At 40.0% G+C, this 10947-nt stretch overlaps 1 protein-coding gene across 4 annotated transcripts in view; it reads left to right on the forward strand.

Moving 5' to 3' along the window:
- Positions 1-8521, forward strand: part of ABRAXAS2 (abraxas 2, BRISC complex subunit) — a 34849-nt gene extending 26328 nt beyond the window's left edge. For all 4 annotated transcript variants that reach the window (NM_032182.4, XM_047424891.1, XM_047424888.1 and 1 more), the window contains 4 exons: positions 610-729; positions 1247-1331; positions 3203-3317; positions 6356-8521. In NM_032182.4, coding sequence (NP_115558.3) covers positions 610-729; positions 1247-1331; positions 3203-3317; positions 6356-6825 — 790 coding nt within the window. In that variant the 3' untranslated portion in view covers positions 6826-8521. The remainder of the gene's footprint in view (positions 1-609; positions 730-1246; positions 1332-3202; positions 3318-6355) is intronic.
- Positions 8522-10947: the final 2426 nt, after the last annotated feature.

The raw sequence follows: 10947 nt of genomic DNA on the forward strand, positions 1-10947 counted from the left end.
ACCAAGCCCCATTCTTGCTTTAGTTAATTACTTTTATTTATTTTAATTTTATTATTACTATTATTTTGGAGACAGGGTCTTACCCTGTGACCAGGCTGGAGTACAGTGGCACTATCATATTTCACTGCCACCTTGAACTCCTGATCCTGTCACCTCAGCCTCTTAAGTAGCTGGGACTATAGGCACATGCCACCACGCATGCCCTTTTTAAAAAATTATTTATTTATTTATTTATTTAGAGATACAGTCTTGCTGTTGCCCAGGCTGGAGTGCAGTGGCACAATCTTGGCTCATTGCAACCTCCGCCTCCTGGGTTCAAGTGATTCTCCTGCCTCAGCCTCCCGAGTAGCTGAGACTACAGGTGTGCACCACCATGCCCGGCTAATTTTTTTTTTATTTTTAGTAGAGACAGGGTTTCACCATGTTGGCCAGGCTGGCGTTGGTCTCGAACTCCTGACCTCAGGTGATCTGCCTGCCTCGGCCTCCCAAAGTGCTGAGATTAGAGGTGTGAGCCACCACACCCAGCCCTTTTTTTTTTTAGACTGTCAGTCTCACTTGAATATGATAGAATGGTACATTTAACATGATCTCTCTGAATTTTTCCCATAGGTATAATCAGAGGATATCACTCGCTATTCCCAATCTAGGAAATACTAGCCAGCAAGAGTACAAAGTGTCTTCAGTGCCAAATACTTCTCAGAGTTATGCCAAAGTGATTAAAGAACATGGGTAAGTTGAAAGGTAAAGTGCTAGTTTTTTCTTTTGTCAGCAATATTTCTTTTGTTAATAACATTTAAAAGGTGTATGGAAAAATGTAAAACCAAGTTTGATATGATTAAAATTGAAGAATACAGTAAGGTAATTGTCTAGATACCACCAGCATGTATCAAAATTTTGTTCTTGTTGAAAAGATAGTTTACTTTTATGAATTTTTTAAATCATTTGCCACAATATTTTTTGTAATTGATACAAAAGTTTTGGATAGAGTATTATTTCTGAGGTTCTAAAAGCTAAACATAGTCACTGAAAAATACATAGCTTTTTATTATTTTTTAAATGATCTTGGTAACATGGGTTTTTTAAATTTCTCTTCTGTAATTCTTGTGGTATGGGCATTATTCCTTAAACACTGTCACCTCGGAGTCACAGCATTTAAACAATAAAGTGGAAGAGGCAGGAAAAATGCCTTTCCATTTCACCGCAGTTATGATAACCTTGAGGCATCTTTTTTCTGTTTGTCTTCCAGTACTGACTTTTTTGACAAGGATGGAGTGATGAAAGACATCAGGGCGATTTATCAGGTTTATAATGCACTTCAGGAGAAAGTTCAGGTAACTGATTTATTTATTAGTTTTCATCTTATTTGTCTTGCCCAAAAGCTTTTAATTCTACTTTAATTTTGAATTGTCTTCCAACTGACAAATAGAGTTAGGATCCGAAAGTCAGAATCTGCTTTCCCAGAACAGAGTCAAGCTGTGGAATAATGATTCATGCCGTCTCGCAGAAGCCTGGCTCACTCACTCTGTGCCTGAAGTAGATTGTTAATACTACTGTTTCAAATACTTACAGCCCCATTTGTGATAGTAGTTTTGCTAGGAAAATGTAGAAAGGCTTGCTAAGAACATAGCTGTCTCCATCAGTTATATTCTAAGTAGAGACAATATCAAAAGGCAGCCATAACTGGTTGCATCTCTGCTTCTTCATCCTAGTTCACTCACTTTGCCCCCAGCTGCCTCCATCGAGTGGGAGGATCTCGGCAGAGCCTGTTCACTCCTAGTCATTTATGCAACAGACATCAATGGAAACATCTCCTGTGAGCCAAATACTGAGCTTGGTGCTAACAATACTTTCCCACATTCTTTTCGTCATCCCCGCTGTGTTTTTAGGAGTAGTTTGCTCTAAAACCTAAGAACAAAAGAGCGTTTGAACTGGCCTTTGAGTACAGCAAAGAAAGTGGTAAAGTTGATGAAGCTCTCCCAGACCTGGAGAAAGCCTGACTTTAAGGAAAAAGGCTTTGGCCCGGCATGGTGGCTCACACCTGTCATCCCAGCATTTTGGGAGGCCTAGGCAAGAGGGTCGCTTGAGCCAAGGAGTTCGAGATCAGCCTGGGCAACATAATGAGACCCTATTTCTACAAAATAGTTAAAAATTAGCCAGGTGTGGCAGCATGCACCTGTAGTCCTCAGCTACTTGGGAAGCTGAGGAAGGAGGATTGCTTGAGTACAGGAGGTCAAAGCTGCAGTGAGCTACAATTGTGCCACTGCACTCCAACCCAGGTGACAGAGTGAGACCTCATCTCTAAAATATAAAAATAAAAAGGATGAAGGCCTCAGTGAGTAAAAAGAGGAATGAAGACAGATACTGAAAAAGAGGAAAACAGGCTGAGTTCAGCCTGGGGCAAAGGGAGAAGCATGCAAGAGCCATTTCCAGTCTAGTGTTCCAAATCAGGGCCACTGTGCACCTACCAGAATAGGGAACTTTATACAGACTCACTGGTCACCAGCCTACTTTCTGGAAGCTTCTGGTATTTCTGCTATGGAAGGAACTTGCAGTGGAAAATAGCTTTTTGTCCTGAATTCATGACCATGCCCTTTTCAGAATATCAGCACTGGCCAAAAGTGGCTGTTATATTTCATTGTTGATTGAATAAGGCCTGCTTTGAAAATACCAAATCACATAGAGTGTTCTCAGGATTATAAATAGCTAAATTACACAGATGTAGTCTCAGATAGCTATCTTTTATTAAACCTTGACTTTGAAACTTTTTTCAACTTTTCTTTAAAAATATTTTCTGTTAAATTGTCTTATCTGATTTTTTGAATGTTGGTAATAAATAAAAGTTGAAAGCATCTTATTCCTGTCTTATCTTTTGTTCTTCTTTGTATGCTAAACTGGTACCAAGAGTTCCCTTTTCATTTCAATAAAAATGATTAATCAAAGGAAAGAGTAGATCTTTCCTATCTTACCCTTACTGGTCAAGAATTTATAAGCTAAATAGCATAATCATCTTAAAATTAAAGCAAATCAGTGAATAATAACAATTCTAGTCTTTTGGGCTTTCATGATTTTGTTCTACCTTATGTGGCTGCTTTTTAACTCAATAAACCATCTGGACTTTTCCTGGAGTTGTAATCAGCGCTGAATTTATGGAATGCCTTGTGCTTGAACTTGAAGCTAACCTCGTTGTCATTTTTTTCCTCAGGCAGTGTGTGCAGATGTTGAAAAGAGTGAGCGAGTTGTTGAATCTTGTCAGGCAGAAGTGAACAAATTAAGAAGACAAATCACTCAGAGGAAAAATGAAAAGGAACAAGAAAGAAGTAAGTTTCTTATTAATTTTACCATTCAGTATCAGGGAAATGTTGTTTTAAACATCAGATTATACTATACAATAAATTATGTGCCTCTTTCTACGCTCATCCAGTCTCAGATTAGCCTGGCTGGGGCAGAGCAGTCTCTTGTTCAGCTTCTCTGGAGGGCAAGTGCTGTTTTTCATAGTAGCCCCCTCAATTCTCTGACACTTGAAGAAAAAGAAGACGAAAGGTAGAAAAGCTGAAGTGGAAATTAGAATAAATCCCAAGAAGTTATTGATACAGATTTGTGTATATATTGACAATCGGACCTAGTTACAGTGAATGTGGTGGTTGTTACTAAGTTAACCACCCTGGCATGTCCAGCAGGTAGGCACTGTGTCCTGTCTTTTTTTTTTTTTTTTTTTTTTTTTTTTTTAGACGGAATCTCCCTCTGTCACCCAGGTTGGAGTCAGTGGCGTGATCTTGGCTCACTGCAACCTCCACCTCCTGGGTTCAAACGATTCTCCTGCCTCAGTCTCCCGAGTAGCTGGGACTATAGGTGTCTGCCACCATGCCCAGCTAATTTTTGTATTTTTTTTCTTGTTTTTTTAGTAGAGATGGGGTTTCACCATGTTGGCCAGGCTGGTCTCGGCCTCAGGTGATCCACCCGCCTCAGCCTCCCAAAGTGCTGGGATTACAGGTGTGAGTCACCACACCTAGTCTGTGTCCTGTTTTAATATAGCCTCATAGAGGAGCTACCAAATATTCTTTTAGCTTCATGTCTGGTCTTAGTAAAGGTTTTAAATGTCTAGTTTTGGTAGCCATGGATGAATAGACACCATTAGGCTAAGGAACAAACTGACTGAATGAGAATTAGGCCCATAAACCTAATAATTCCAGCATAACAGCCATGTTTGCTGTAACACCACCAGAATTAATATCTGTGTGTAAAATTTATAAATGTATGGCAGATAATGTCAAGTGTAAAAGATAAGGTTAGGGCTAAACTTTTCTAATTTAATAAGAATATATATAATCCAGTTAAAATGTAATTTATGTTTCCAGGCAAATATAACAGTCTGATTTACTGTTACATTTTTCTAGAAATAATCAGAAATACAGATAGGGCTGGGCGCGGTGGCTCACGCCTGTAATCCTAGCACTTTGGGAGGCCGAGGCAGGCAGATCACCTGAGGTCAGGAGTTCAAGACTAGCCTGGCCAAAGTGGTGATACCTCGTCTGTACTAAAAATACAAAAATTAGCTGGTCATGGTGGCGTGCACCTGTAATCCCAGCTACTAGGGAGGCCAAGGCAGGAGAATTCTTGAACCTGGGAGGTGGAGGTTGCAGTGAGCCAAGATCATACCACTGCACTCCAGCCTGAGCAACAGAGTGAGACTGTCTCAAAAAAAATAAAATAAAATAAAGAGGCCGGGCATGCTGGCTCACACGTGTAATCCCAGCACTTTGGGAGACCAAAGCGGGTGGATCACGAGGTCAGGAGTTCGAGACCAGCCTGACCAACATGGTGAAATCCTGTCTCTACTAAAAATACAAAAATTAGCTGGGCGTGGTGGCAGGCACCTGTAATCCCAGCTACTCGGGAGGCTGAGGCGGGAGAATCGTTTGAACCCAGGAGGCAGAGGTTGCAGTGAGCTGAGATCACACCACTGCACTCCAGCCTGGGCAACAGAGCAAGACTCTGTCTCAAAAAAAAAAAAAAGAAAGAAAGAAAGAAAGAAAAACTAGGCCAACCATGGTGGCTCACGCCTGTAATCTCAGCACTTTGGGAGGCCGAGGCAGGTGGATCACTGGTGCCCAGGAGTTCAAGACCAGCCTGGGCAACATGGCAAAACCCCATCTCTACTTCAAAAAAAAAAAAGCCAGGCATGGTGGCATGCACCTCTAGTCCCAGCTTCTTGGGAGGCTGAGGTGGGAGAATCACCTGAGCCTGACAGGTCAAGGCTGCAGTGAGCTGTGATTGTGTCACTGCACTCCAGCCTGGGTGACAGAGTGAGACCCTGTCTCAACAAACAGAAAACTAGGATATAAAACAGTGTAAACCAGGTAATGTCAGCCGTGTTTTATATACATGTACAGACAAACACCCAAAGCTGGATAATAAAACTGGAGTTCAGCAAGGATTAGTGACTTCTGTAACACAGCAAGGAAGTGAGGTCTGATACTTACAATTTAGTTCTCTTTGCTTGAAAGCCTGTGCCCTTTTCATCCTGACAGTGTTATTGGGATGATGGAATTGTGGGCAGCTTTTATTTTCTTTTTTCCTTTCTAAATATTCTAAATATTGTATGAGTGTGTATCAGTTTTATAATATTTTTTAAAAATTGAAATGTTACCTACAAAAACTTTCAAGGCTATATGGATTATGTGGGTTCTTTCACAACACTAATAAAAATAGAGTAAAACTGTGGTTCAGTATCTACTTAAGACAGGGTTTTTAAAGTTTTAAGGTATATAAGTGTATTATGACAGGTAGCTATAAAGGCGTATAAGTGTATTATTATTTAAGGTGTATAAGTGTATTATGAAAGAGGTATATTATGACAGGTAGCTATAAAGAAATCGGTTTTTTGATAGGAGGCTGCCAAAGAAAGAATCTCACATTTCCATTCCGTGTACAGGATGTTTCCATTTCAACCTTTGGGTCCCACAGTGTGACACAGCAAGCCCCACGCCAGGGAACCAGCACAGGTTGTGGAGCGACAGAGCCTGCATTCTGAGTCTCAGGCCCACTTCCAGCTGTCCCCTTAGTCACATCACCTCACCTTTCAGAACTCTGGTTTCTTTGCATCTATAATGGAAACAGTAATAATAACGATAATTATAACACTTCAGAAATTTGTCATGGCCTTAAATGAATTAATGTGTAGGGAAATACCTTGTAAATTATCAAGTACTATGCAATTGTAAAATAATTAATAGTGACAGTCAGCTTCATTGCCTCACTGCTATTTTCCAGAACATTCAGGTTGGCCGTGTTATACATTGAGATGAAAAGCTGTGAGAATCTAGAAAGTGTTAGAATATTCTTTGTTTTCATCCAGGATTGCAGCAGGCAGTGTTAAGCAGACAGATGCCGTCTGAAAGCTTGGACCCAGCGTTCAGTCCTCGGATGCCGTCCTCTGGGTTTGCAGCTGAAGGCAGAAGTACACTTGGAGATGCAGAGGCCTCGGATCCTCCTCCCCCTTACTCTGATTTTCACCCAAACAATCAAGAAAGTACTTTGAGCCACTCTCGCATGGAAAGGAGTGTCTTTATGCCTCGACCTCAAGCTGTGGGCTCTTCCAATTATGCTTCCACCAGTGCCGGACTGAAGTATCCTGGAAGTGGGGCTGACCTTCCTCCTCCCCAAAGAGCAGCTGGAGACAGTGGTGAGGATTCAGACGACAGTGATTATGAAAATTTGATTGACCCTACAGAGCCTTCTAATAGTGAATACTCACATTCAAAGGATTCTCGACCCATGGCACATCCCGACGAGGACCCCAGGAACACTCAGACCTCCCAGATTTAACTAAACAAAAGAAACTCTCCACCTAGCACTGTTTTTCTTCATTGCTTACTGAGAGGGTTTTTGAGAACTTAATCTGGGGGGAGAACTGCTTTCTCAGATACCTTAACTCCCGAGAAGAGAGTCCTTGTGCACAGAACTTGTGGGAGCCTCCATCCGCTGCTCTTTACCTTTGGATACAGTGTGCAAGTTTCATGACAGAATCATTAAGATAATCAAATTGTCCTAATTCTGGTGCGATTCATGGATATACTGGTAAATTTAGGCAAAGTGAAACTTATCAGCGTAGTTTCTGTTCTTTAAAATAAATTGGAAATTAGAGACTAAGCACAATTAGTCTATAAATGTTCTATAAATCAAAAACTTACCTCTTGCACTATCATGCCTTGAAATTTACTTTTTCAAAGGGAAACAAGTTTAGCAGCAGCCTTCAAAGAACTTCTTTCTATGATGAGCCAAATTCATCTTTGCCAGAAAAGAAATTTTGATAATTCCAAGAAGCCTGATTAGAACAAATCAGATATACCTTCTCTTGTCTGCATGACTTTGTGAGATAAAAGAGAGGGCTTCCAACTTTTTTCTACTAGCTTGATATGTATTATCACTTAAAATGGTTGCCTTTAAAAAAAAAAAGTAGAGATACTAATTACCAGTAAGTAATCATCCAAATAAATACGTCATAAAATAAATTAATTATTTTTTCTTTGATGGATTACAGTGACTACTGTGTTGCACTGGCACATTTATGGTCTCTGTTCTGGAATCTTGGAGGACACACAGCAGTGGAGAACAGAAGGAGTGAGTTTTATAATGAACAGATTCCAGACACGGTAGGTTTAGCTGAGTTCATACAGAGGAGATATAACTCATTTAGATCTTCTGACAAATCCTAGTGTTAGTTTTATCTGTGGAGGAAAGACATTTAATAATAAACTGTTTGGGAATCTTGGTGAATAAAGATTCATTTTCAAGCTGAATAACCATACTTATTTTATTTTAAGTTGCCATTTGGGGAATAATTGCAGTATGTGTAGAGACTCTCTTGGGATGCACTTATATTTTTATTTAATGACTACTTGTTTTCTAGTTTTGCCCACAACGTCTGAAACCACTAAGACATTCAGGAGCATGTTGAGCTTCTGGTTTGGAAACAGCAAGACCCACCATTTATGACAAGGACAGCCATGAGGTTAATACTTGGAGTTTAACTGCCTTCCCTTTGAACTAGTTAAAATCTGTAAGAATAAGGAAGTTGTTGAAGGCTTAAAATCTGGGTTCTGAAAAAGTAGTTTCAGTTTATAGGATACACATTTACTCACTGAGCTCCAGTTCCAATACTAAATTAGACAGTATCATATAGACGGAAAATGAAATGCTAGAACTGCCGTTCTTTGGATCGCCACTCTATGGGGGTCTGTCTTTTAACTACTCTCCTGGTTATGTTGGCCTTACACCACTGCCATTTGATTTAAAACGCTGCAGACCACTTTATCTGCAAATGTGTTCCAGTTGTTATCAGCTACCTACTACGCAGCTTCAGCGCCAGTGTGAATTTATTTTTTTTTAAGTGCCATTACCGTCTCCTCTGTTCAGATTTTGACATTCAGGAAAATATTTTTATTTTGATGCCATACTGAAATCTACAATGTATATCTGACAAAGCAGTTAAATGTGACAATAAAAAACTTATTTAATCATGGTACCATTGTTTTAATGTCTGTCTCAGCACCGGACAAGGCCTTGCCTCAGTGTACTCATTCTGGCAATTCATCATGGACTGAAAAGAGCTTTTTAAAGGGCATTAAAACTCATCTTCATACAAAGTTTTTGTCAGGCTGGTTTCAGGAGACATCCAGGAACACAACTTGCTAAAATGTTTCTGTGATTTTCAGGAGTTTCTGTTTCCAAAATATTTCTGTTGATTTCATGTTACCTACAGAACTAAGTATCAATTGTGTATAAAATTGAATCTTGGAGAGGTCCCCAAAAGGCATCTTCCACAGAGGAACTGATCTTGTTTAAAGTGACTCCTCAGCCTGGATTCCCTAACAGTAGAGATACTGTAGAACTTGCTGCCTGAGAGCATCTTAGGAATTGTGGGATCACTTTAGAACAAGGGTCAGCTGGCTAACAGGTGTATTCTGGATTCTGAGGGAGCCATTCCCGCTGAGTGATGTCTCTCTTCCAAAATGCAAGGGGAGAGTGTTTTCAGCAGGGTTTTAACGTGTGAATTACAGCCTTTTAGGATCCTACTCAACATCTCTAAGAATTTGGAGAAAAGGAGACTGGATTCTTTTTACTTACTTCAAAGCCTGGAAATGCCTGATTACATGTTGTAATTGGTTTTTCTGGAGTAAAATCAAAGCAGAAATCTCATACCCAAATATTCAGGATACGTATTTTTTTAATTGCAGACACAGTGGGGCATTGACCATAACTGCTTTAACAAAAATATTTAAATTGTCTTATAAGCCTATGTTTTAAGGAGATAAAAATAATCTGGGATGATGTAAAATAAGAATACAGTGGAACTAACTAATGGTTATTAACTGTGTTCTGGGTCTGACTTGCCTTGGCTGTAGGTTTCATTTCAGTTACTGAAAGATCTTCCTTTTTTCATTAGGATCTGCTTCATCCTTTCCCATAGCAAACCTGAATTCCACCAGACAGGCAGGAAGCCTGAAGGCAAATGGATTCGTAAATGTGGTGCCAATAAATAATGGAAAATGTTTACTTTTCAACTTTATGACAAATAGATTTTGGAAAAGTTCTGGGATTTAGATCAGCTGTCTTACTTTTATACAGCGATTTTTGTAATGTCCTAAATAAGGCGAGTCAGGACATAGAGTACCTCCAAACTGGGTTACTCTGGGGTTCTTCTGATCCCTAGAGATTGGGGGAGGACTACCTTCTAGCAATGAGGCTTTGAAACATCTGCAAGCAAATGTCCCTCTGGATGCCAGATGTGACATGTGGTCCAGAATGTAGTGCTTAACAAAAGAAAGCTCATTGCAGCATATTTCTAATAGCAAAAACCTGGAAGTGACATTAATGCTAATGTAGGGGAATGGTTAAATTTTGATACACTCCAGAAGAAATAGTGTTTGCAGCCATTAACAATATTAAGGTAGAAATAAAAAAGATGGGTGGGCGCAGTGACTCAGACCTCTAATCCCAGCACTTTGGGAGGCTGAGGCGGGTGGATCGCTTGAGCTCAGGAGTTCAAAACCAGCCTGGAAAACATGGTGAAACCCTGTCTCTATTCAAACAAAGCAAGGTCACTTGGGGTGGCTCACGCCTGTAATCCCAGCACTTTGGGTGGCCAAGGCGGATGGATCATCTGAGGTAGGGAGTTCAAGACCAGCTTGGTCAACATGGTGAAACCCCATCTCTACTAAAAATACAAAAATTAGCCAGGTGTGGTAATGCACGCCTGTAATCCCAGCTACCGGGGAGGCTGAGGCACGAGAATTGCTTGAACCCAGGAGGCAGAGGTTGCAGTGAGCTGAGATCGCACCACTGCACTCCAGCCTGGTCGACGGAGCGAGACTGTCTCAAAAAAAAAAAAAAAAGATTTCTTGACATGGAAGATACCAAATGAAGAAACCCAGGTGTCCAAACAGTATGTTTGATCTGATTTTTGTGGAGGAAAAAAAATAGTATTGTTCTTGATAGAAAACAGTCTGGAAGGATATTCACGTAAATGTTAACAGTGTTGTCCCAGGCAAGATGGATAATTTTTCTCTCTTTCATTTGTTTGCATTTTATAATTTTTCTGCAGTAAATGTTTGTATAATAAAAGACTTCAGAAATGGTGGTCACTGACTACATGAGTTATTTCATGCATACCACCTTAGAGGAGATTCTAGAAACATTCTCGATTCTCTGGGTTTCTTTACCACGCTTGAATTTTTCAGATCTGTGGCCAGTATAAGATAAACCTTGTTGATGCTCGTCTCTTCCCTGCAGTCAACCTTTATCTCATTTCCAGATAAAAATCACATTTTGTTTTGCCTTGACACTGATTTTTTTTTTCTAATAAATCTGGAGCCTGTTCGACTTTACTTAGTTCAGAATCCATTTCCTAAATTTCCAGGAAACACTTAAAAAATAACTTCAGAGACT

This window comes from Homo sapiens, chromosome 10 (assembly GCF_000001405.40).
Source record: "Homo sapiens chromosome 10, GRCh38.p14 Primary Assembly".
In the NCBI taxonomy this organism is placed as follows: domain Eukaryota; kingdom Metazoa; phylum Chordata; class Mammalia; order Primates; family Hominidae; genus Homo; species Homo sapiens.